The following is a 27,638-nucleotide window of genomic DNA, read 5'->3' on the forward strand; positions in this document are numbered from 1 at the left end:
TTAATTTTCAGCTCTTACTTTTAATTTTTCAAATGAAATCAAATAACTACATGGGCAAGGGGGAACCCCCCACATACAATCAGGTTCAAGTTCTGTTGAATGTCAAAGGGTCAAAGTTCTTAGGGCTGCTTGTCCCAGCAAATGAGGGTAGGAACTCTGACTGAAAGAAATCAGGTCACATTTCCCCAGAAATTGATTAGATATTTTAAGAGTCTGGAGAAAAAAGATCTACAGGGACTTTCAACATGAGAAGTAACAGCAGAGAAGTAGATTTCAAAGACATGCAGAAATAAGAAAAGGACACAAAGAAGTATATCAAAATAAGATATAAGCCATTCATGACAAGTTCTGATATCAGGAGACAGAAAGGAAAACTGATCATGTAAAATGAGTTTCTCTTGTGTAATCTGAATCCTGGCAGCATTCCTCTCATGTATTGGGAGTGAATGATTTTTTTAAATGCCTGTTTGCAACTTGAGTTTGGCATGAGGATAGACTGATATAATTAAGTGGGTAAAACAAACAGGTTCTGCCACATGGTTGCATAGAAGTCAAAGCCTTCTTTTGCCATTTCTGGCTATATGTAATGTTGGCCCAACTGCTTAACAGCTTTGGCCTCAGTCCATTCATCTATAAGTTTGGGTGAATAACACCCACCTTACGGGACATTGTGAGGATTAAACAAGACAATAAAAGTAAATGTGCTGTAAAGATTAACTTCCTTTCCTCTTAAATTATTTTTGGAAAAATTGTCAGAAGAAGAGCAACACATTTGATCAGAAAGATAAGTGTGTGAGCTAAAAAAAAAAAAATAAAGCATTTTACAACTTTGGAAAATGTTACCCACTGCATTTCAAGTTTTTGATATTGTTAAACTATGAACTCACGTGCATTCAATCAGCTGACCAGTCAACTTTCCTGTGATGTGGAATGTCCCACAGCAACAATCCCCAGTATGGCAGCTTCTGGCCTCGTGTGACTATCGCACACTTGAAATGTGGCTAGTGCAACTTAGGAACTAATTTTGTCATTTTATGTACTTTTGTTTCTTTAAATTTAAATAGGGATACATGGCTAGTAGCTTCTGAATTGGACAGCACCCTTTTAGATCTTCCTGACTGTAAGGTTCTCTCACACCAGTCTTGAGGAAGCAGAAGAGCATGAGTTTAAACACCTTGGGCACTGAGATTGTACTAGGTTCAAATCCTAGCTCTGCCACTGAGTGATTCATGTAAGTTCCTTGAGCCTCAGTTTTCTCATCTGTACAAAAGGAATGGTAGTGACATCACTTGCTGCATGTGACATGTGGAGAGTAATAAATAAGTTAATACAAGTAAGAGCTTCAAAAGGTATTATGATTATTCCTTCTAAAATAACAGTCCTCACACTTTATTGAAACTATGCATTTACTTCTCTGCCTTCTCTACTAGGCTACAAGCACCGCTATAACACAAGTGCCAATCACCATGCCTGGCACATTTGGACTCTCATTAAATACATTCAGGAAGAAGGGAAGGAGGGAGGGAGAGGAGAAAGGATCAGGAGAGGGAGGGAAGGAGAAGGAAGAAAGGAAGAATGAATGAAGTACGCAGTAATACCTTTCATGAAGAATAAAGTAGGCTGCTAAAATAAAATAAATAAAATATGAGAGTTTTAAATAAAAATTTCCGTGGAGATGACTTAGAGATGAAGATGGAACCGGGTACTCCAGGGAAAACATATCTCTAAGTGACAGTAAAGGGACTGGATAACTCTGAGAGAACCAAAGAAAGATGAAGGAAGCTAAACTGAAGGGTTTTTCTAGATGCTACACTGATAAAAACATAAACTTCAATCCTTAAAAGTGTGTTCAACCAAGCTTCTTCAAGAGAATACAACTGTGGGTTGTGTAACCTTATTTGTCGACAGAATACTCTCATAGAAAGGGTCCACCAGAAGTGAAGTTCATGTACATTGGGCTCCCCATTGCCAAGTTTTCATTTATACTACATTCACCAGTTCCCCCAAAAAAGCAGTAGTGGGCAAGTTTTCATAACTGTTTATTCATTATAAATAGTAAATATTTACTGCACTTTTTACATGAAAGACATTTTTACAACACATTGTTGTTGGTTGAGGCTGCAACACAAAGATAGTACTTCTCTTGTTCCATCACCCTCTAAGACCAATGCATGAACTAAATTCGGTACTATGTCTAGTCTCACTAACTCGCTACGTCATAGTTCTTAACTCTAAAAGGAATGTATTTGTGCCTACCTCATTCGTGGTTCCAAGAATAGAAAGAAATAAATAACACTGCCTTCCACCTTCTTGTTCCTCTCAACATCTCAAAAAGCAAATTTATTGACATTCTAAAATGTCACCACACAAACGTATGTAAACCTCAGTTCCTATAATCTTTTAATATTGGATATCATTGTATAATTTAAAAGTACATGAGAGCCATGTGAACACTTCTGTTCTTGCCCTGCCTTTCATAGAAAAGAGAAGAATGTAAACGTAATCAGTTTAAAAGCATAATTATCTGATCTGGTCTCTAATCAAAGGAGCAACCCGGGTGTTGGTTGTCCAGCAAATGGCAAACATCACTGCACTCTATCACTATGAATTATGGGCTGTGAAAATAAAAGCACCTGCAAAAATATACTTCTGATTTTGCTTATATCGCCTTGGGCATTGCCAAAGCATCCATGAGGTACACAGTATTGCACACTGATAAGCAGATATGTGAATGCATGTCACTTTCTCTCCACCGTGCCCTTCCTCCAACCCAGGTGGGCTACCAAATAAATGTGAACTGGAAAAACGTCACACACCTCTCCCCACACAGGAAAGGGAAACAAGTCCTTCTTCCTGGTAGCCCATATCCTGTTAGCAAGACATGTCCGGGCCATTTATTGACAACTAGATTACAAATGAGGATACAGTAACAAATAATTTATTTAGGAGGTCCTTTACAGCTAGTCTAGCTTCCTAAAAATGGTTGCATTTATCTTTATTTCAATTTCCAGTGTGTAAGAGTCAAGGATTCCTCCATTCTTGCTTCATGAAATGAGCAGTTTTAAAGTTGTAGAAGTATCAGCATCGAACATCGACATGTTATACTTTAGGGTATTCTATTATATTTTAGAACAGTCTGCTTGCCCAAACCAGTCTGGGTAAATCTCAATACACACACACACACACACACGCACGCACGCACACAAGCAAATGGAATGTTCTAGCTCCTCGATGATCAGCACTAAAGAATTGGGATGTTTTGATATGTAACCATGTGAAACCATTGCCTTAAAATGTTGCATTTGTCTTTTATTGCTCCAGGTCTTCCTCTTCTCCACTGCTTTTGTCGAACGTGTTCAAAAGGATTTGAAACCAACTATTGGAGGAAGAAAATCAATCACTCTCCTTTGTCTCCTATTGGGACCACTGCCCCACCCCCCCCAACAAAAGGGTAATTTTTTTTTGTTTTCAGAGCAGATTCTTCATATCTAGGCTGCGAAGACCAGAAACAGGGCCAGTTTTAGCTCCAAGTGGACAGTTCACTTACGCGATATCTGGCTTGAGATAATGAAAGGCACCTGTAAGGAAACACACGCAGCTTTTTAGGTCATGCTGGGACAATTCACAGTCAGGGGCAAGATCAGCTACAGGCTGACAATGTCATATTTAATACCGTGCTATCAAAGGCTTGAGACTAATATTTTTATTCCTGAGACAAGTTTGACACAACTTTGTGTCCCTGGGATTATCCCCCATATGATCCTGGAGCTGACCTCATTAAGAACATGTGTTTCTAATGTCAGGGATTATTTCATTTTGGCCAACCCTTGTGTTTTACCTAGTGGCAATCAGGTTTCACGTCTCAACAATTAATAACCGCAAGATGTTGTTGACATCAGTTAAGAAAATAATTACACAAGGAAGCCCCTGCTGGAACAGTCAGCTGGCTTTGCAAAAAAAAAAAAAAATTGATACCGGCATGTGTGGCTTAATCTTGCCTCTAATTCACCTTTCTTAAGGAAGAGTTGAGTTTATCTCCCTTCCAGGAGAAATTGCCCCCTAAAAAGTCCAAGGCTTACTTTGTCCATACTGCCCATATTGGTAGCCTGTGACAGGGTCCATACTGTAGCCTGTGGTGCTATAGGTGGGTGGACAGTAGGACTGAGATGTTGGCAGACTGTCCAAGCTCTTCATATGGTCTAGTCTCTGACTGCAGCTGGCCGACACCGTGGTGGTAGGTTCCAGACCCCCGGTGAGAGGGGAGAGCGCGTAATCAGTCTGGGGCTGATGAGGTACCCCACCGTGGTTGGTCAGGAGTCCCATTACCTAAAAAAACAGCCAGATTGGGAAGAGGTTAAAATGCAGAGAGATCCAGATTGCAGCCTACAGCTGAAAGAATAACTTGACAGTCCAGTTTTTATTTCTTTGGAAATTGGTTAAAGAGCTGTCCAGGAGACTATGAACCCAATTCTAAGTGGCAGAGATATTACATCATGCCCGACGATAACATCTGACTGCAGTTGCAGAAGAAGGAAAGGGGGAGGGAGAAGAGGGGAGAAGAGGGGGAAGAGGAAAAGAAGGAAGGAGAAGAGGAAAGAGAGAGATTACACCACGTCCCTAGTGATAAAATCAGACTGGAATTTCAAAGAAGGGGGAAAAAAGGATGAAAAGAGGGAGAAATTGTATCTGTTCATACAGAAAAATGTCTATTCATACATTATATCTGGAAGTTTCACATGTGATTTTTAAACAGTCATTTGCTTATATTTTTAAAAGATAAATGAATCCAAATCAAGTTATTTTTCATGTACTTTGAGATCTCTGTGCCTTTTTTTTTTTAAATAGTGTTCCCTCTCAAGAAAGCCCCTTTCCTTATCTTGGCCATTCTTTGATAATTAGAAATATTTACTCCTTTCCTGATGGTCTCTGGTACTTTATTTACCCCTCCCACTGTATATTCATTAGTTCAGTCACCTGCTTTGACTGGTGAGAGCTTTGAGAGGAGCAATCTATTCATCTTTATATCCCAGCACCTAAAGCAGTGAATGCTTGACACATATTAAGTGCCGAATGAATGAAATGTAAATGATTCTCCAAGTAAAAGCCTCCATTACCTATTATTTTATTTCTTCTCTAAACAACCATTTCATATATATATATATATATATATATATATATATATATATATATATGAAGTGTTAAAAGGAAAGACAAGCCTGAAATGCAAACATGGTCTTAAAAAGTTCAGTTTGTAAATAACCTGGACAGTAAGACAACTTGGAAAAAAAAAAATATCCTGTGACAGAATAACTTTCAGATCAACATGGTGAAGTGCTTCACCAACTCAAGATCCCTGACCCTTACAGCACCTTGTGGTGAAAGTAAGTGGATAATTAATTTTGCAGCTGGAAAACTGCCACACGAGAGAGGAAGCGATTTTTCTAAACTATGTACCCTTCTGTGGCAGGGTTCAAAAGCAATTGCAAAAGAAATCTAACGCCAGGTCAAGAGCCCCCCCGAAGACACATCTACTTACAAAGTATTTAAATGCAGTATCCAACAATTCCACAACATTTCCATAACAGTCCTGTCTTATTTTAGGAAGTGTGAAGCCTACAGAGATTAAAGTGTGCAAATAAGAGAAAGAGGAGAGGGCAGAAATGACAACCAAGCCCTGACTATAAGCCCTCATGCTAACTGCAGAATAACTCTCATAATTCAGGCAATAGAACCTCGGATCTAGGAGTTCCAGTAAGGCAGGAATCTGAGAGGCAGGTGAGGCGGGGGGCGGGTCTAGTTTTGCTTCCCAGAAAGCATCTCAACTCAGATTCCAAAAACAAGGATCCCATAATTCCCTTTGGGAAGGGTTTGCATAATCCTTATGATTAAGTAAAATCTTCTTGAACTAAAGCTCTGAGCTGATCCATCTTCAGCTGACCCCAAAAGACAGAGAAAAAGAGATCCACCTTCTGTGGATTATCAATTATCCACTCTTCCTCCATTTTAACAGAAAATTTGAACGGATGTCCCTGCCTTCCCCAGAAATCCTGTTTTTCATTTTGTTGTCTCTCTTTCATTTGAGTTATTGTCTATGCACACACATGGGAAGGTGGGCTGGTGTGGGCAAAGCAACACAGCAAAGCCCACATTTTGAAAGACATCCCAGGAATCTAAGATTTTTTGAGATATGTGGTAAAACATCCTTTTTTACAATTTTTAAAAATTAGTTATATTTTTAAAAAAAACACACAAAACATCATTTGTGGCAGAGCCCAATTTTGTTTTATTGGGGATTTGGAGAAAGTGAAAGTCACAAAATAAAGTAAGCATCAATAGGATTGACAATTCCAGGAAGATGGAAAATCACTAGAATGTGGGTTCTTTTAGGGCCCTACCCAGCATTGTTTATAGCAATTTCTTCATTTCACTACTTAAAAGAACTTGAACATAACTAAGAATGCATTTAAATTAGTTCCTGGATATGTTTTCCATCTATATGGGTTCTTTTTGCCTTTATTTGAGCTTATATAGATGATTTCTATATAAGTGTATACTTGGAAAATTCATGAACTTCAATTGATACACTAGTTTATTATTTATGAAATTTCAGCCCAAATTAGACATTTCTTTTAGAAGAAAAGAGTCTTTAAGTTAGAGGTTGTTTGGTGCCAAACACACTCCTTTCAAATCAGGAGTACATTTTCGTGTGTGATCCTGATGGGTGAGATTGGACATGAACATAAAAACACTTTAAAATGTGATTTTTTTAATAAAAGGGAATAATCGCACAGGGCAAATATTTTACCATGAATAAGTTGTGTTAAGCAAAATTCGAAATCTTAGAAAAAGCAATTTTGTAACTATATCAGTCCAGAGAGGAAAGATATCCAGTGGCACTAAATAAAAGGAAAATAAACTCTAAATTAATATTGTCCTTCATGAAGATACTTACTTGAAATTCAGTCAATGGTATGTCACTTTAAGGGAGAAATGGAATGCTGTATGTACAGTTATACTTGATGAGCTCAGAGCAGAATTTTATTCAAAACATGCACACTTTCCCATGAGCTATATGTACATTTTTGTGATAAACTTTTTAAAAAAATCCCCTGCCATACATTTTTTGTTTGCATAACTTTGAAGGCAGCAATAACTAATTATAGGGGATGGGGGAACTCAAGAAGGACCTAGAAGAGAAGAAACATGTCCTTCCTATAAGCAAAAATCAGCTTATGATGTTGTTCATGAAGCAACTTTTGGCAGTCGCTGCGTTAGAAAATTCATTAGGAAAGGATTTAACTCTTAAGACCTTGAAGTATATCTATTGAAGGGTGGAGAAGATACCCTGTTTGCAGAGCCGTATTAGGGCAATAGAAAGATAGTTCCTCAAAGGTTCCAGGGCTGAGTAGCTTTAAGACTTCCCAAAACATGACCAAATAGGAAGGACACCTGCAGGGTCTTCCTGTGTGTCACTATTGTCACACACAGAAAGCTAGTGAGGGCATCTCCTTTAGCCACAGCACTCAGCACAGCAGCCCAATACTTGCAGGGGCTGATGTGAGAGCATAGAGGGGACCAGAGACCAGTTATCTTTTGTTCCTCTGACTTCCCTGATAGAGCCCCCAAGACAGACATTCACAAGTTCTTATTTCCACTGTGATGGTCACATATTATAATCGTAATCTCAAGAATCTTAAAAGGATGGGGAATACAGCACTAACATTTTCCTACATTTGGCCTGAAACTGCGATTAATAAATAATTATAATGTGATTTATTTCAATATTTCACACTGAGAAAACTTGAGAAATATACACCATTTTAAAAACCTACTGTTTTACAGTTTTTAAAAATGTGTGTTGGTGGGGGGAGTGAGGACATCAATAGAAAATGCATTACTCTCCCCTCACATAATTTAAAACCTCAAATCTCTGTAGAAGGGTTCCATTACACTTTCATGTATGTTTCTTTAAAAGCTATTTTGCGTTTCATGTGGTTCAAGGGAAGCTATGGAAATTTCTTTCTGTGCACAAAGAAGTTGGTAAATGAACTTCTTTGAACTTATCCAATATGGTTATGGAATGTCTTCCAGTCACATTTTCTTTTTAAGAATAATGTCAGAATTTCTTTTATGCACGCTTTTCCTACAAATTCCTTCAAATTTGTAATTCAAAGCCTAAAATCAAATCTTCATTTGTTGTAAAGTGGATTTTTTTGCCCTCCCCTTACACCATTAGTAAGATATTTCTACTACAGGGCTGGCATTTTGTACCAATTTTTTTTTTTTAATTTGGGGTATGAGAGAAGCTTGATTGCCTAGTTTTGACAAACAATTTCAAAGAAAAAGAAACAAATTCAAGGCTACCCAGTTCTGTCTCCTGAACACTGATCACACTCATTAAATGCCAGGTAAATCCAGGAGATGCAATGACCAGAAAGAGTTTTTCTTTAATAAAGATCTCTGCTCTGTCTCATTAGAAAAGGAAGCAAGGAGAACTCTTTCTTTTTACTTTTAGTTGTGAACCATCTAAAAAAAAAAAATCTGTTGAGCAGATTTCTAAATTGTTACCTCCGAAATGTGTTCCACATACTGTTTCTAAATTGTTCTTTGAACAGCCTTTAAAAACAAATTCAAAGCTTCCGAATTTATGTCCACGTTTCTCCTAGCAGCTCCTCCATCTTTTGCATTATTAGAGAGACATTTTCTGAAGATCTCTTTAAACTCATTCTCAAGTTTCAGAATTCCAAATAGGTTGTTTATATCTTGATTGGAAGATTATATGGTTCAGGAAAAACTAAGTCTTACAATTGCTCCATGCCATATTTCTCTTGAATTAATTTTCCTATTGCAAGATTAAATAAAAAAGATAAAAACTATGGGCCAAATTAAGATTTACCTTTAAAATGATATGTCTGGAAAATATTTGTCTTGGCACAAGCATTATGGTTTTCCCATCAGTTGAAAGTGCCTGAAGCTTATCAGAAATCTAAAATGATTCAGTAAATTATGGTGCACATCCAGGCGCTTCTTTTTTCTTTAGTAGGAATTCTTGGTTCACGTCTTTATTTTCTTTCTTGTTCTTAAGTAGTCAGGTGTTCTGATTTAACATTTAACATACACATTTAGTTTGTTCTTTTTAAAAAAGAAATGTGAATTACAGCTTTGTATGACATAAAGAGTTTTTTTATTCTTCCATCCTTTCCTCCAAAAATCTACTGACTATATTTTTTTATTTAGATATAATATATTTTCGGAACCAATCAAAAATGTTCAAATGTTTATCCAAATGTTTTTTGCCAATGTGGGTGTTACTGGAGTCATCTAATGGTTAAATTTCAGTAACTGTATCTTTGAGGTTAAAAACCTAAATTTAAGGAGCAGAGACTTTCCTGAAAATGTCCTCAGATTCAAATGCCTTAGGAATTATCCTGCAGTTGATTAGCATCTAAATAATTAGATTTTGGGTCCTGTCTGTTTGAAAGCTGTAAGAGGGAAGTTGCCTGAAGGCAGAAGTTTCTCTTAAGGTATGTGTGGTGACCTTCTCACCCATCCTGAGAGTTAGGGAAAGGCCAAGACTGACCTTTACCTAACCAGATAGAAAACCTGTGCATGTTTTATTTTAATCCTTAGCCTACATTTTACAAGTAGCTGTGCTTAATGCATGATGAAAAAGTATGAGTGCCAGACAAGTGTGCTTCATATGCAGCATACATTTCCATGTTTTCATTGTAAAGAGTACAGTAAGTATTGTCTCAGTTAAACTCTAAGGGATTATGTATGTTTCATCTCCAGCCCTGTGACCAATCACAGAGATAGCTTATTTTTATCAATTATTTTGAATACCTATTGCTCAATAGAGCTAAGTGTTAAGTTTCATAGCAATATTCTTTACGGACTGATGACTAAAATATAAATCTAGACAGAGAATTAGCGCAGAAATGAGTTGCATAACCATAGATACTTGTTCTTAACTAGGCAGATGTTCTTCTAATTTAACATTTAATATGCACATTTAGTTGTTTTTTTAAAAAACCATTGTGAATTATGATTTTGTATGATATAAAGGGTTTTTCAGGCTTCTAGCCTTCCCTCTAAAGTGTGTATATATGTATATGTATATATATACATATATGTGTGTGTATATATATATATATATAACTTCTAGTTTACTTCTAGCCAGTGATGAATGACCATATCACGTCCATCTATTATCAGTAAAGCCCATTAAGAAAAAGTTCATTCCACCTAAATGAAAAAGCATGCCAGTTAATACCACTGGTATTTGACTATGTTAGACCCACCATGGGCATAATAAAATTCTCATATGTTTTAATTCATTTACGCATGCCTGCATTTAATATGCTTTGTGACCATGTCTACAATTAATATGATTTATGGGAAAAGAACATGTGCAATATTGGGGGACTATAGCAAATATTTTTTTTTTCTATGAATGAAAAATATAACAAAACAGCTCAGGAAAATTGTTGGCCCTTAGCATATTAAGAGGGACTGACAGAGTCCTGAGTAAACTTGGGGGAGTTAATGATATCCTCTTATCTGACCCTGACACATTTGCAGCATGTAATTTACAGAAGCTCTGTCCAGGGAATCTTGACAAATGCTCCTGAGGATGTCAGGGCAATGTTCCATTCTAATGTAAAACAGATGTGGGTCAGATACCCTCATTCATCACTTAACACACAGAGCCTCAAACTCTTTCTGGGAGGAATGACATTACCTGCTGTTAACTCTTCTCATTTCAGGAAATTTCTCACAACCACTGTAGCCCTCTAAAGCGCGTGTGCTCAAACCTATCACTGTTTCAAAATCCAGTCTGAGAACATGACTGTGGAAAATCAAACGTGTATCTTGGTTTCATTTCATGACTACTCTAGGATACTTTTGCTAAATATTACTTGACCCTTTGAGACTTGGGATTCTAAATATAGAAAGAGAAAAGCTCTATGTTTGGGCATCTCACAATACTTCAGTGATATGGCATTCAAAATTTTCTCTCTAATTGCCTGTAAACCGAACTTCCATGTAAGGAAATGCAAGGCTGATTCACCCTAATAACCATTCATAAATGCAAATCTTAGTGACCTTTAACTTCACAGTCCCATTTGAGACTCACAAATCACTTATAATAAACTAGAAATACTGCCTTTTAGTGAAAAGAGCTTCAACTCTGCCTCTCCCAAGCAGAGGAATGTTGGTCTATATATACTATATTCCCATTTCCCTAAAAGTTTTCCCTCTACCTACCACTCTAACAACATGTAGGGAAGACATTCTGATCTGCTAAAGGAAGAAAATGGTTGTCCAGCTCAACAAGGAAATTTCTTCTTTCTTTCACACTATGTATGATGTAAGCAAATATTTCTGTGGCTGCCTAAAGTCAATAGCATAAGATTGCATCTATGAAATGTCTGAAGACTACAGAAAAGACGCTTCCTTGCCCTTTTCTTGTGAAGGAAGGTACATCCTTAAGATAAAGAAAAGAACCAACTGAAAAGACCTGGTGATACTGATTTACCTGTGATACTGATGAGTAAATGTCAGGAAAGGTATTTCTGGTAATCATGGGGAAATGGAGAACAGGCTTGCAAAAGTCTAAGAATGAACATACTCTTTAGAAAACACTTGCTGGTCTGTTTCATAGGCTCTGTGGTAAGGCAGAATAAGCATTCATTTAAAATTCATGGAATTTGGCCAGATGCGGTGGCTCATGCCTGTAATCTCAGCACTTTGGGAGGCTGAGGCCAGAGAATGGCTTGAGCCCAGGAGTTCAAGACTAACCTAGTCAATACAGCAAAACTCTGTCTCTACAAAAAAAAAAAAAAAAAAAAAAAAAAAAAAAAAAAAAAAAAAAAAATTAGCTGGGCATGGTGGCATGCACCTTTAGTCCCAGCTACTGGGGGGCTAAGGTAAGAGAATCACCTGAGCCCAGGAAGTCAAGGCTGCAATGAGCCATGATTGCACCGCTGTACTCCAGCCTGGGTGGCAGAGTGACTCTCTGTCTCAAAAAAAATTAAATTTAATCAAATTAATGGAATTTCTACCAACTCTACAAATGTGAGACAACATCTGAGAACACAGTCTCCCAAAAGCTAGAAACTACTACACCATTAAGCTAAAATCGTATTTACCTTAATTCTCTCCCATACCTAACTCCAGGGACACTGAACCAATAAAGATGCCGTGTTCTCTTTTCCACCTGATGACTTGTGCTTATGGTCATAATTTGGGCAGTGGTTATGTCTCCTACTGCACAGGCAACTTGATGTAGGCTGGCAACATGCAGAACCTACTTTGATCTTCAGAAACTAATTCTGTTCCTGCAGATCCTAGCAAAATAAAATCTTTGTAATCTAGTGATTTTGAAAAATGCTCCTCAATTGATAAACTCAAAATCACTTAGATTGTCCCTTATGTTCCAAAACTTTTTGATGGTACATGATGTTTTAGCTACCCTTATCCTTGGCTGGTGAGAGAGAAGCATCACTGCATATCAGATTCCCCTGTCTTTGAGGCGAGTATCTTGCTTCTAATTTACCCAGTATCTATTGTTATAGAAGATGGACTGTATATTTTCAAAAATACATTCATTCATGTCAATATTATATTTCAATAAGTCAAAACTAGAATACAAAAAGAAAAACAACAGGATGACCCTCTCCCCTCCCTGCTCCTAGCCCCATGGAATAAAGGGTTGACTTTAGTTTTCATTATAGTGGGTTCTCATGGTATTGTAACCTGAATTTCTCAAATAAATTGATCTTAGTACATTATATTTCTGGAGACTATCTTATCCAGCCACCTTAGAGTTACTGCATTCTAAATGGACATCAATATGAATCCTTAGATCTTTGAAATGTCTAAGTAGAATACTTGAAAATACTCCAATTTACCAACATACCGCCTTTCCTTTGATGTCACTCAGTTTCCGTGTTTGCTTTATTTTTCATGGACAAGCAAAAGTATATTTTTGTCAGAGATTCACATAATTTTTTTTTCTGAGACAGAATCTCACTCTGTCACCTAGGCTGAGTGCAATGGTGCAATCACGGCTCACTGCAACCTCACCCTCCTGGGCTTAAGCTGTCCTCTCACCTCAGCCTCCTGAGTAGTTGGGAGTACAGGTGCAGGCCACCATTCCCAGCTAATTTTTGTATGTTTTGTAGAGACGAGGTCTCACTATGTTGCCTAGGTTGGTCTCAAACTCCTAGACACAAGCGATCCCACCTCAGCCTGCCAAAGTCCTGAGATTATAGGTGTGAGCCACCACACTTGGCCATACATGATATTTTTAAGACAACAATAATGAAACCCTGTTGCAATAGCATTAGTACTTTATCAAAAATCACTTAATGTTCCTCAGCCTAAGTCTACAAGACAATTTTTTTAGTATCGTCTAAGTTGAACAAGAAGGTACAGAAGAAGCTGAGATAGTTTAAACAGTTTATGTGAAAATGCACAGCTAGTAAGTGGCTAAGTTTGAACTCTATTGGTGCTGTCTTTAGATTAATGAGTTATACCCACACTGCAATCACTTCATTAGATAGGAATTCTTTCTTTTCCTTTACCCCCTTATCTGCCTCATCCTAAATATTATTAGGTAGTTTATAGCCTCTTCTTTAAAATTAGTCTCCCCCTACTCTAAGTTCTTACACAAAGGGCTGACACTGTGTTGAGACAGAAGACACCATCAGACATTAATTAGAAAAAAAAATTCACCTGTGGAAAAAATCAAGAAGCCATTTTAGAAACAAATGGATCAAGAGTTAGGTCTCCACGTGGGTTTTCCATTATTAGGTACATCCCAGGAAATGTTCCTTAAAACTTGATAGTTTGGTATTCAACAAAAGGGCTCCATAATCAGATTAGAATACACTGAATTAAACAAAATTAAACATGTTTTCATACCTCAAGACTTGTCAGGGCCTTTAGTAGGCTAATGTGCACTCGTACACTGAAAGGTAAAGGGATATAATTTCTGACTTTTACCAAATTTTACCTTCAGAATACTTTTCTCTCACACCACTGTTCTACAGAGCCTGCTTTGGGGAACAAGTCTTTATCATGAGGCTTGGTTTGGTTTCAGGGTGTTCAAATAGCATCATTCCTCTAGAAGCTTATAATCAAAGGCAGTGGGGGTGTGGATACACTATAATAGAATAGAGTCTGGTATGTGTTTCAACAAGGTATAAATATAATAATGTGGCATCAATAGAGGCTAAAAAAGAAATTTTGCCTGGAAGAGTCATGGAAGGGTTGACATTGAGCTAGAAGCATAGAGTGACACAAATAGAGGATCATCTCTACAGCAGGTATTTTGAAATCTCAGGACAGATGCAATAGTTTAACTAGATTTTTTTAACGCAATCTGCCCAGAATGAGACATCAGTATTTTTGTGAGAAAAAAGAAGAGTTACTTCTTTAAGTAATGCTTGCTTCTTTCATTAGTTCAGTGCTAAAGGTTACCCGAACAGTCATCTCACAGCTAAGAAATATTCCCTTCAATGTAGACACGTTACCCCATTATTCTGCAAAATGTACTGTCCCCAAACGTCTCCCAATTTGCCATCTGTTCCATTGATCAGCAGAGGTGCAATCGCTAATCTCAGAAACTCTAGTTTACTGAATTCGAGCTAAATGTCAAGAGCAATTTTTAAATATTATACTATACATTGAAAAAATACACCTCTGATGAAACCCAGACTGTTTTACAGAGACAGATTCTTTGGAAAAACAAACACACACACACACACACACACACACACACACACGAATAGTATACAACTAATGACTAAATCAAGTCTTCTGTGTCTGTAGTACAAAGCACACATTCATCCCCTAATTGAATAAATATGCAAGTATTCAGATTTCTGAAGATATTGCCATTTTGCAAATGCAATAATAAATTAAAAGCTTTACATCGCATTCCACCCACATATAAAGGGTTGATTCAGGCCATTGGCCCCACATAATATCTAGCACGGCTATGTATTGCTGACTACAAAGAAAAACTTTTTATCCTAGTTGCTTAGTTATAGACTAAGCAATAATGCTCATTTTTTTTCGACTCAAAAGCTGGAGGAATTCAAATGGGACTAAAAAAGAAAACACGAGGTTGTTGCATTTGATTTGTCCAATGTACAGGAGAACATAGCTGACAGAATTTCTGTTTAAATCAACTCGGCAGACACAAAAATAATTAATTCAGCAAGGAAGGTTTTCTTTTGGCTCATTTCAGTGACGTGATGTAAGATTCAGTCACTGGGTGCTACATTCTCCCTTTCTTTAAAAAGGAGATTTGGGCCAGGTCGTTGTCTCTTTCACAATTCACCAAATTAAACTAACTCAAGAGGCTATGACTGGAGCTGACATAAACCAGGGCTCTCCTCATACTCTTAAGTGTAGCGACCACAGCCTTAGAGAAAAACCAAAAGTACCAGGTCAATTACAGCCTGCTCATTGATTCAACAAATGGATTAACAGCCATGTTTTCATCCATGAGCAGAACATCTCGAAAACCTAATATGGCAGAATGGAAACCTCCAAATGGCCAGTGGTTATTCTGGTGTAGCTGAAATGGGCTCGTTTATGATCATAAACATTCTTGAGCCTTCACAAACATCGAGGCTTCTGAAGCCCTGGCAATCAGCACACAAACTGCTTTAGAAAAGAAACAGAAAGAGGCTCAAGCCTTTGAGAGGCTGCCACTTTTGTAAAAAATCTCTCTCTGCCCCCAGCTTTGTTTGACACCCAACAAATTTCTTTAATCAAAATCACTCCTTTCTCTTCTACAGATAAATTCCTGGAAAGTGTAAAGGGAAGAAAGCCCCTCCATTGGGAAATAGGTTGGTGTCAGGCTACTTGCTTGTCTGATTCTTCACAATGATAAAGGTAGGTCAAGGGCAGAGAATTTGCAACCAGTGTGTGAAACGAATGCCTTATCAACAAGACTAGCATCAGGTAGCTTCTGGATGCGTACCCAAAAACGTCCCAAAAAATTAGCTATCTTGAAATAGAAGCTGGCTGTACCGCCAGGGTGAACCTTATTGCTTTGACCTATATCAACAGCACAAGAGAAAGGCAAGGAATTACCAAGCCATAGTAGGAAAGATTTTAACGGCAACAAATGAAACAGAGAAGTACCCAATGCAACAATTTTTAATGACTATATCCCATCCACATAACAAGTCCTTACCCCCTGGATGAGCAAACAACCATCATTTTGCCTTGGCAGCTAAAGAATTTGAGATTATTGTTAGCACTGTGGTCCCAAAAATGACAAGTGAAATCAAAAGCAGTCTTGAGTTTTGTGTACACATATTAACACTTAAATGCTTCTTCCTAATAAGTTTCAGGATTAACAAATGTTTGTCAAAAGGAACTGTGCTGAGCAATTGAAATCTAATTTGAAATGGAACCACGATAGTCTAATACATATATGCATGAAACGAAGAAGCTTCCTAATAGGCGTAGCTGACACCAAATATGCAATTTACATACATTACACACTAATAATCTCAATTTTAATATTATTCTTTAAAAGCAACTGGATGGGTGGTAGAGTTAAAGGTTTGCTTTTGTAAAATGTGAATAAGAACAAAAAGTCGATCCTGGCATTTTATGCCATTAACCACAGTCTTATTAGTGTAAAGAGCTATCTGCTCTTTCTGGGTCTATTTCAGAGATGGTATCTCATCAACACAAGTCTGTGATGATTCAGCCGAACTTACTAGATGAATGGTGGATAAACTTGATGAGATCTGCAGACCTCTTCTTTGTTCCTGAGTGTTGCTGAGTGGTGGGCAAACATTCAGGCTTTTTCAAGCCCAGTACACAAATCTTTATGAGAATTTTTTCTTTCCTCAGTAGATTATCCATGAAATAGGACAGGTGTACTGGTTATTCAATTACATCTTACCCAAGACCTGGACAAAATTTGAAACAAGGCCTCACAGCATAGTTCTTACCATGGGGATTTATTAATAACAGTTAAAGGTTCTCTAAAACAAAACTTTTTTTTTGTAATTTAAGCCTATTTTCTTATTTTGTCATTGGTTTCACTCATAAACCAGAAACTAAAATCTGCCCATCTGTTCTAAACATAAAATGTGTTCATAATAATCCAGATTTATACCAAATGTATTTGTAAGTATTGCTGAAATGAGAGGAACTCAAAATTTATGGGCTCTGAGGTTGCAAACAGAACTTCCTCTTTTCAGGGAGGAAAATGCTTAAAATGAATGTAGGAAAGGCTCAGAAAGCTTCTTGGATATCAAACGGCTTCATAGGGAAAAAAATGTCAGTGATATAAGAGTAAATGAATCAAAACCATATGGATCAAATTTTCCTTAAAATACACAGTTTGAAAAATTAAGGAGGAAAAGTGCTTGGCAAAAATGTGTTTTAGGTTTTACCAAACCCAAAACATTTGAAGAATCATTTGCAATGGTTGATGAACCCTAAATGCAGCCAAGTTGGCCCATTTTGTATACTACAAAACAATAGAAAAGATTCCTATAAACAGTGTAACCCACTGATACTGTATTTCACTCAGGAAATCTTTAGAAACTGTTACCAAAGAACTGTGGAGTTTGTAGAAGTCGGGTGGGGGGTGAGGCATGAAATGATAAAAGTTTGTTAATTTAATTGGTCTTGTTTTGGGGGTTTGGCTATGTGTGTCTTGGGGGTAGGGGAACAGTCAGGGTAGTATTTCTTGCAAAGAAAAGTTAATTAGAAGAACATGGGCCAAATGTTAATTAGCCTCACATCTTGAGCATATGGTAGTACTTCCTCGGTACTCCATATTCCAAGGCAGCATTCCTTTTTCCTCCTGCATGTGTAGGAAGGTGCTGGTAATGTACTCTCTGGGGATGGAGGGGAAATAAATGGTCTGTATTACCCCATGCACTATATTTTCCTCACATCAACAGAACAGAAACTTTCAGAAGGATGGTACTACAGAAGACAGCCCGTGTTGCAGTGAGTTAAATGCTTCCCTTCCCAGAGCGTATTTTGTCATTCATTATAAGCCCCATCTCCAAAAAGGTTATGCAGTTCAAACAGCTATCCAGAGATGGTGGAAAATTTTGAGGTCATTAGCCTGTCTCCACCCTCTCACGCATCACTGAGAATCTCGCCTTAAATTCCCTGACACATGCAGCCTTTGATAGAATGAAAAGCCAAGCCCACCATTTGTGAAGCCATTCAACCATGGCTGCAAGAAAATTCAGTCGAATATCACTGGGGCAGCCCTTGGGAAATTTCTTAGGACATTATGCTTCCTCTGGTGCTGACCAGCCACTAAAATGTGTAATTTGTGTTCATAGAAGAACTAGTAAGAACTAGACAAGACATAGAGTTGGCTCTTAACCCTGCCACTAGCTCACTCCATCAATTAAATGATTGTGTTGCCTTGGCCTCAGTTTTCCAATAAGCAAAATGAAAATATTCCCCAGATATTGTTGCTGATTCCCTCAGAACAAGAAAAACTTGCCAATGATTAAAAAATGCACAGACCCTTTCAGCAACTTGAGGAGGAACGACATCAGAGTTTCTAAAGGTTGCTGTTGGTATTCTGAGATTTAGGCTGTCACAAATACAGATCAGTCCATTGCCAAGCTCTGACCATCTGGACAGGTGTGACCTCCCTGAGACACTGCTTCACACCAGCCCCTCATGAAGCTGAGACCTTCTCTGAGGAAAGGACTGAGGGCATCTATGATGCGCCATTTGGCAAATGGCTGTAATTCCCAGCCTTTGCTCAAGGGAAAAGATACATTAGAGACACAAAACAAAAACCAACTATTGTACACATACACAAACACACACACACACACACACAGAGAGAGAGAGAGAGATGCTTTGGCTATCCTTATAGTGTCTATTAATTCCTTGATGAGAAACTAGAAAGCCCACTCTACAATCATTCACACATACTCTAGCTCACAATTTCCAAGTGTGGATGGCAAACAATACATCAATTTCAATGGCTCTAGGGAAAAAGTCGAATAAAATGCAGAAATATTTTTAACATGTCAAATAGCTCCACCAGAGAGATCTACAGTGAACTGATCACAGTGACTCAAAAAACTATAACCAATTCGGTGTAAATTGACAGATGGCAGAAGGCCTATGATGACACGTAAAGACAGAGAAAAGGCAAGATACAAAGTTGTATGCACTACTTTCTACTTTCTCAATTATGTTTCTAAAGGAGGCATAAGAACCTAAAAAGCTAGAAGGCAATATGCAAAGATACTCATGGTAGTTGCCTTGGGGGTTGTTTTTTCTACTTTATAGACACTTTTTAAGCAAATTTTTTTTATTTATCTACAATGAACATCCAATGCTTTTAATATGAGGAGAAGATAGAAGATTAATGGAAATTAAACTTAGCAAAAAGAGCATAAATTGACCTGAACAGAAAAGTTTTAAAAAACTAGTCTCTACTAAATTATTTTATAATATGACTAAAACCTCCTGCATCTGTTTTTTTATGAAACCTGTTTTCTCTTCATTCAACTCTGGACTATAATGGACAAGATCCTAGACCAGGAACCAGGAATCCTAGATTCTAGTCTTAATTCCCTCCCTATCAATCCTTTGGCTGGCAGAAGGTGACAATCATTTTGGGCCTCAGTTGGTTTTTCTGCATATTAGATAACCAGACAGAGGTAGAGGAAGTAGAAGAGTAAGTAGTGAGGAAAAGGAGAAATGGTAATCATAACGCTATTAGTTATTCTCAGCATAACACTGTCCGTGTTATATGATCCAATATATTCATAATCACTCTATGATAAGCAGTGACTTATAGGTCACAAGCCTTTCTCTAGTCTCTTCTTTAGTTAACAAGTAAACCAGGGTGTTAGACATGAACTCGTTGCTTCACATTTTTCTTTAAAATATTTTTAAGAAAGCCAGAGAAGCAAAAGTAGTGTAGGCACCTCTTGTTTAAACAGTGTCATTACAGAGAAGTGATATAGCCCAAAGTTTACAGAAATCTAAGTTTGAATCCAATTTTCCTACTCCACTGTTGCATAAATATGTTTGGCAAGATACTGATTTGCTCATTGTCCTTTGCTCTTTAACTTTGCCTGAGGAAATAAGGAGGAATTTCATATTATTTGTCTCTTTTCTAACTCAGTGGGGTTGCTACAAAAACCAAGAGAACATAAATTCCTAGTGGTGGTTTGAGGTGGAAATGTATGGCAGAAATGCAAAATACCCTGCATATTGCAATGTAATAAAGAATTACCATAATATGTAAGATATAGTAAAGAAATACAGGAAAAATGCCTATGGAATTTTCCGTTGCTTAGTATTAGAATGATTTTGCTCTACCATCAACTCCAGAATCATAGCCAGGCTTCTTGAAGTCAAGGATTAATAGTTAGGAGATCACATTCTAGCAATTCTACTTATGTGATACTTATATAATACAAAAGAATACACATCATAACATACAAGATAATACATTTATACAAGAAAGTACCAGTTTCACTTATAGAATACAGGTTCTTATTAGTTTTATTGCTATTGAATAAAATAAGGTACTAAGAAATGCCAATGGAATCTGGGATCTCACCTTGCAGAAGCAGCTAGGGCAGGAGTTTACTTTTATTAAAACTTTCAACCAAATCATGTTCATGAAAAGCTTTTCTACAGCCCCCAAAACTACAAATCTTAAAAAATCGCGGAGATAAGTACTTCTGATGTTACTTCTAAGTTGTGGAAGAAGCTCATATGCCATGAATCTGGGTATTTTAAGGATGACTCTATCAATATAAGTCCATGATTTTCATGCAGAAATCACATTCACAAATGCCAGTACTTGGAAATAAAATGTATTAAAGTCCTGTAGGAAGCACTTTCATTGTTTTCATGTTGTTATTTTTCAGCTGAGGTTTAAAGCCACCTCATAATTTTTTTTTTATCCCAGGATGTGCTATAGGAATCTATGAAACTTAATTACATTTACTGTTACAAAAAAGGATTTATGAACTTTTGCCTTTAGGCGGAAATGTTTATTTCATTGCCTTTGCTATCCATTCTTTTCAACTCCTCCGGCTTTGAACTTTTCAGCTGCTCACAGTTATCACTGTCTTGCAGAGCCCAGGAATTCCACTCCCAAGACACACACCACAAGTTGAAGAAAACGAAGAGGCAAAGATATACGAGTCGTTATTTTGGCCACCCTTTGTGCCATTAAAATCTCATTTTCTGCCTATTAGAATGCCCTCTTGGTGCTTAGGCAGCGGTGATAGTCAGTGATTAGTGTGTAATTGAGTATAATTGTCTTTTCACTTTTCATTTGTGTCATTCTGAGCTTCTCTCTGTTTTTCTAACCACCAAGAGGAAAAAGGGGGTTGAGAACAGATAAAGCTGTTCAAACTCTCTGAAGAGATTCTCGATTGCAATTATAGATTGCAACCCCTTGTGACATTTCTCCAAATTTAGTGGGCAGCTATCCTTGCCACCTGGGCCAAGCACTCTCTAATAAAATCAAGGGATCTGTATTTAAACAACTGCTAATAATGTCAACCTCAGACAGATGCCACATGTAGGAAATTTAACCAACCCTCTCACATGCAATTATCAAGGCAATTTATTAATGTGATCTCCTAAGAAAAGCTCATAGTCCAATGCAAATTAGAAAAACAATTACAACATTCAAATATTTATATAGTCCCAAAGAGCAGTAATTCCCCTAATTTGTGCATTTATAACTCGTTTATTCCAGAGTTCGTAGTCATCAGCTGGGTCTCTCTCCACAGGACTTGTTTGCTTCCTCTCTGATTGTTTTGTCAAAGCTTTAGTGTTTTCTTATGAGGTGCTTTTGATTGAAACCTCATCAATTTAAAACCTTATCAATTGATTGAAACCTTATCAATTTTAAATACAATTTAAAACAAAAAAACAAAACAAAAAACCTGCCACTGTTTGCAAGCTTCTTAACCAAAGCCCAGAACTAGGATGGAGAAGACAAAACATGGCAAACACCTTCACAGCTAAATATGAACACAAAGTCTCCAAGATTATATCAAAAATCACTTGAATTTTAAGTCTAAGCTACAACTTTTGATGAAGCCAGTAGGAAGGGTGGAGAGAAAGGAAACCAGAAAACTGAAATCATGTGGCTTCTATAAAGAATACATTATGGTTTAAATTTGGCAATTCATTACACTACTGCCTCAGGGAATTGAATATTTGGTTCTGGTATACAGCAAATCGTCTGTCTAGAAACACGGGACTGACCTGAGGTGAGAGGCCATTGCCAATGGTGGGGTTCATGGGGTTGGAGGGCCCCGACGGAGGCACAAAGCTGTCTGTATAGCTGGAAAATCCATGCCTGGTGCTGGGGAGGCAGTAGGCAGAGCTGCTGTCTGGGTTGGAAGGAATCGTGCTTTGGTGTACAGTGCTTGGAGGAAGCGGTTGAGGTCTGTGAACGGTGCTGCTGGGATCTGACACAGCTGAAATGAAAAAGATTGTCAACCATCATGTTTTCTTTTAGGCCAGCAGAGAAAGTTCAGTGCAAAAGTTCATCAGCCACCAGGCCATCAGGAGCATCTATTGATCAAATCAAATGTTCACTTCAAACTGCGTTTCTTAACCTGCAGGTGTAGAATCACCCATAACAGATACAGTCACACCTATCTCTGCACATACTTGTAAGTAACATATATACTCTCACGGCAGGCTCACCCAGAATACTAATGCAGAAATCATATTAGCAATGCTAACAAGCATATTTTGGTAGTGAATGTTATTCATCAATATGAGAATTAACCAATATAAGGACTGCAAGTCTCAAATTTCTTATCAAATATACTTTTAAAGCACCTAAATATTTGTGTAATAATATAGTTTCAAATGCCTGGAATGTTCTTTCATAATCCAAAATAATCGGATCTTACAATTTAACATTATCCCATTCACCTCTGTGTGCTAACAAATAATGACTTTGTCAAAGCTTACCTTCCCTCTATTATTCCTACAGTTAGTAAGCATCATTGAATTCCAGTTAGTTGCAAACTGGAGTAAAACGTAGAGGTAAAATTTTAACAAAAGAAAAGCAAATCCCATGGTTATTTGGGAAGGTTAATTTGTTTTAAAATACTGCAATTGAATTATATTACAGCACAGTTTATCTAGAGATATTCTGATACATCATAGAACAAACTATGTTTCTGAAATGTGATAGGTACGTTCAGGACAACCTGATGTATTACAATTAACAACATGGTGTCAGTACTGCAGAAGGATTCACTTGTATAAAATATCCACCAGAGAAATCGCCTGGAAGTTACTTTCTAATCTCCTTGACTCTTCCTCGGTACCTTGTGGAATAGATGTGGGCTGGTAAGAGGTCTCCGACAGCTGGTACGTTGGCAAGGTCGGCATGGCAGTGGGAGGGAACCCCCCGGGAATGAGATGGTTGAAAGCCATCAGTTGATTGGCCCCAGCTTGCTTCCTCCATCTTGCACGGCGGTTGCTAAACCAGACCTATGGATTTAATTTAAAATTTAAGGATTTCACTGATGAAATAATAGTACATTCTTAATGAATTTTTTATGCTAAAACAGATTAGAGGCTTCTTACTGAAAGGGCAAATAGATGCAAGAGTTCTCTGCCTTCTGTGTTGTTTGGGCGAATTGTCAGGAGTAAAAGAAGAGTTTAGTGTCAAAGGTCAGTAGAGGGGCTTCAGGGACCCACCATGATCTTGCAACAACAGCCCCCATGAACCTTATGAGGACCATGGGCAGGAATCACTGAGCAGGAGTAGGAACAACAGGAACTCCCCTCCCTACCCTCAACATCCACCCACCTACGTGTAGACAGCCTTCTGGGGAGGATACATGAGCCTCTGTGACCCCTGCATGACGCATGTCCTAAATGTGGCCTTGCCTTTTACTCCAAGCCTTGTATTTTATATTCTTATTAGTCTGTCTCTGTATTTCTGTGGTCACTAGGGGTATAGCTTCTGGATGGTCATATAAATTGAACAGAGGATAAGTGGAGCCCTTTTTTCATCTCTTCCAAAATATGAAACATTGCACTGATCTCGGTGGAAATAAATGCCAAAGAGGTAAGTGTTTCAAGAAATGAAAGCCTTTTTTTATCTAAAATAATTCATTTGTGTCTTATTTATTTCAACAACAGCTTTAAGCTCCTAGAACACGCTGTGTCAAGCACTATGCTAACCAGGTACATTCAGAAAAGCCTGATACAATATAATAAAATGCCCTCAAATAATTCAAAGCCCAAGTATTTTGTATGAGTCAATGGAGAGAAAGGGCAGTCATGGCAGCAAGAAATGTAACTGAATATCTAAACTATTGAGAAATTGTGATATAAGGCCTTTCATGGGTCCTGTGCTCCTGCCCAACTCTTACATCTGCAAAGTTTAAATGTAGAACTTGGGGTGATTTTTCCACGGAGCACACATGATGTTTCCCCTAAAATGAGAGAGGATTTCTACCAACTAAAGATATTCTAATTCCTACATCAAAAGTTCATTGAAACTTTTTTTTTTTTTTTTGAGACAGTCTTGCTCTGTCGCCCAGTCTGGAGTGCAATGGCGGGATCTCAGTTCAACCCAACCTCCGCCTCCCAGGTTCAAGGGATTCTCTTGCCTCAGCCTCCCCAGTAGCTATGATTACAGGCACCCGCCACCATGCCCAGCTAATTTTTGTATTCTTAGTAGAGACGGGGTTTCACCATGTGGGTCTTGAACTCCTAAGCTCAGGTGATCCACCCGCCTCGACCTCCCAAAGTGCTGGGATTACAGGCGTGAGCCACCCATTGAAACTTAATATGGAGGAAAGCACTGTGTTTGGGGTTGGAAGGATATAAAGGGAATCAAGTAGGATCTCTGCACTCTGGTAGTTTGATGCCTTGTCCTCATGGGATTCACAGAGCAGTCAAGGAGACCAAAATAATTGCTCGCTAGAGGTAGAAACTTCACATTTGGAAGCACAGAGAATCAGGAAAACTCTAAAGTGGAAGCAAAAAGTTTCAGCTCATTTTAAAATTTGATTCTAATTTCGACGAGCGATCGCTTGAGATGGAAGTGACATCCATCCTGTCCTACAGGGCAGGCAGATGCAGCTTGTTACAGGAGGCCAGCTTAAGAGAAGATGAGAATTGATTTCCTTACAGAGCAATGTTAACAATTTTGCAACTTAATTGTAATTCTTAAAGTCAGATCATTTAAGAGCGGAGGAAAAGATTTTTCTGGAGAAGAAGCTCAATTTAATAAATCCTTTGCCGAGGGATTTGCTCAAACTTTTGGTACTCACCCAAGCATTTGTCTGAAAAGAGTTTTGTCTTCTCTCGCCATTGTTGCAAGATACTGGTAAGGAAAGCTGTTTGAACTTCCTCAAAACATCAACATTTAATACTCCTTAAGTTTCCAACAGGAAAACGAGGTAAGTTAATATTTTCCCATGTTGATACATAATTGAATTAGAGTTTTACTTAACTTAATAAATTGCCACCTGGGGTAATAGAACCATGAACAGCACTTAATTTCAGGTCTGCATTAACTGTGCTTTCTCACTGCCCCGGTCTGAGTGCCTGTTACCACGGCTCCCAAAGGCATCAGGGTAAGAAAATCATTTTCAAGAAAGTTCTGGGAACAAACTGTGTTAGCTTGGGGAGGCTGAAGGTGGGAAATTAGGGTCATGTTCATGCCTGAGTGCACTGTACCATAACACACACTGTGGTTGTAGTTTATATTATAATACGTCAAGACTAAGGAGGTACTCCCGGCTCAGATCAGGTAGTCCTCTGCAACTATCTAGACCAGCGATGTACAGTGCATCTCCAGCTTTATATTGCTGGGAGGAGAACTGGACTTCCAAAAGTTTTGATGTAACTTCACTCATGAAGATTTACTATGCTCAGTTCCACTGGTGAAACCCTTTATGAAGAACTCAGAAAGGTACGCTTCGGTTTTTGTCAGATTTGTTGGCAATCTCTCTGTGCCACCTGCCTTCTGTAACCTTTAGATAAGTAAACCCAGGAGTGGTGAAGCCTGATCTCTCCATCAATCTCAAGTTACTATTGACTCAAGGTTCATTCTAACTCCACCATAACCCAATTTTTAAAAACAAAAATGTCTTTGCTGAGATAATAAAGAAGAAACATCATGAGTTTCTACAAATACCTTCAAAAGACAGAATCCAAACAGAGTAAGAGTATAAGGGTTTGGGGGTTTGTTTTCATATTTTCTAAAATGATATAAATAGGTAACAAAGACATTGAGTAAACTCACCAGGAGTTGGATTAAAAAGTCCTTATATTTATTATACAGTATCTATTATATCCACAATAAAAAATGAAGAGAAATTGTTGTGAAGCAAATCTTTACTGAAAAACAAACCTTCAGCAAGAGGTTCAAGAGATTCCCAAAGGAAGGAATTTAAATGTTGTTTAAATTTAGGCTAAATAAATCCAGAGGGCTATTCCTAAGAGAACCAGGGCTTAGTGAGGACTGGCCTGCCTGTCTCTGGTCATTTAACCTGATTTTTTATCATCTTACCATTGCCAGCCTTCTGCATTTCCTAGAACCAGCTGAATTTGCCAAAAGAAGTATTAAAGGAAAAACACACTAACTTTGCAAATTAAGAACTGGTCTTTGCCTTCTTTATGTTTTGAAACTCAAAACAGACAAATTTTCTATTTTTAGTAGACTAAAAAGAGTACCCTAGAAATGACCTTTACTTTCAATACCTGAACGAACCAAGCGTAGTGATCCTAGGAGGCTGTTATCAGCCCACATTTAACTGAAATTTTCTTGATACTCCTAAGTCTTAGATAACTCTTTCAATATTGTATCACTAATTCCTAACATACAATCAATGAATAATCTGCAGAATGGCATGTGTGAGTGTATAACACTGAATAAATTCATCTAAAATATACATATTTATAACTTAGTAGTTACACTTTCTAGAAATTTCCCCTTGTTTTGAAAAGAATAGCAGTAGCAACAGAGGCAAACTGGCCTATGACTGATGTTCTAGGAGAGAACAGAAATTTACCACCCAATGTCTTTGCCAGTAGGGTGGAAAGAACAAGATTTACAAAGTTGGCTATACACCTTTAAATGAAATTATATGATCTACAATTCAATGTAATTTTACTATCCCCACACAAGATTACCTGGCCTTCCGCATCACACTTGGCATGTTAAGGAAGTGGGGGCAGGAGGCACAAATTTGTCAGTAACCTACTATACTATTAGACACAGTTAATTGTCTATCATTGCATGTATAATATTACATCAAAAGTCTCCCTCAAAGCAAGTTGTTATTTCATTTGATAAACTGCAGCCCGGTTCATTTTTATCTGCCGCCTGTACTTCCCAACTTGTATGTCTCTCTACTGAGTCCTTCCATAAAGCCATATTTCATGTCTTTGAAAAATGATCTTTACATGCATTTCTCTAGTAGTATAATGTCCAATGATTTTTTGAAACAAAATTTAAATTGGTTGAAAGAGCCCCATAACATCATGATAACTAGGAAAAAAAGATAATAATTAGAAAAGAAATTTTCATACTTTTTATGAGTAAGCAAACCAGTTTGTTCAGACTCTCAACATTACAAGTTGGC

The 27,638-nt window shown here is 37.7% G+C and overlaps 1 protein-coding gene and 1 long non-coding RNA gene across 7 annotated transcripts in view, besides 2 other annotated features; one reads left to right on the forward strand and one right to left on the reverse strand.

Moving 5' to 3' along the window:
- PAX3 (paired box 3) overlaps positions 2,023-27,638 on the reverse strand; it is a 99,112-nt gene continuing 73,496 nt past the window's right edge. For 2 of the 6 annotated variants that reach the window (NM_001127366.3, NM_181458.4), the window contains exons 6-9: positions 23,358-23,523; positions 22,276-22,490; positions 4,080-4,326; positions 2,023-3,578 (exon numbers count right to left, since the gene is read on the reverse strand). In NM_001127366.3, coding sequence (NP_001120838.1) covers positions 3,544-3,578; positions 4,080-4,326; positions 22,276-22,490; positions 23,358-23,523 — 663 coding nt within the window. In that variant the 3' untranslated portion in view covers positions 2,023-3,543. Of the gene's footprint in view, positions 3,579-3,848; positions 4,327-22,275; positions 22,491-23,357; positions 23,524-27,638 lie in introns of those variants that run through there. The other 4 variants (NM_181459.4, NM_181460.4, NM_181461.4 and 1 more) reach the window with 4 other exon arrangements.
- Positions 10,413-11,035: an enhancer, noted in NCBI's record as "OCT4-NANOG hESC enhancer chr2:223072996-223073618 (GRCh37/hg19 assembly coordinates)". NCBI's record gives its function as "activates a minimal SCP1, AML or CMV promoter by ChIP-STARR-seq in primed H9 embryonic stem cells {active_cell/tissue: H9 hESC(primed)}" and the evidence as "EXISTENCE:reporter gene assay evidence [ECO:0000049][PMID:30033119]".
- Positions 15,674-27,556, forward strand: LOC107985991 (uncharacterized). Its single transcript, XR_001739903.2, has 3 exons — positions 15,674-15,912; positions 22,532-22,688; positions 23,222-27,556. It is a non-coding gene; the product is annotated as an uncharacterized LOC107985991 (long non-coding RNA).
- Positions 22,152-23,351: an enhancer, noted in NCBI's record as "CDK7 strongly-dependent group 2 enhancer chr2:223084735-223085934 (GRCh37/hg19 assembly coordinates)". NCBI's record gives its function as "activates an origin of replication core promoter dependent on BRD2, BRD4, P300/CBP, MED14 and CDK7 cofactors, with strong dependence on CDK7, by STARR-seq in HCT116 cells {active_cell/tissue: HCT116}" and the evidence as "EXISTENCE:reporter gene assay evidence [ECO:0000049][PMID:35650434]".

The sequence above is a fragment of the Homo sapiens genome, chromosome 2 (genome assembly GCF_000001405.40).
Source record: "Homo sapiens chromosome 2, GRCh38.p14 Primary Assembly".
Classification (NCBI taxonomy): domain Eukaryota; kingdom Metazoa; phylum Chordata; class Mammalia; order Primates; family Hominidae; genus Homo; species Homo sapiens.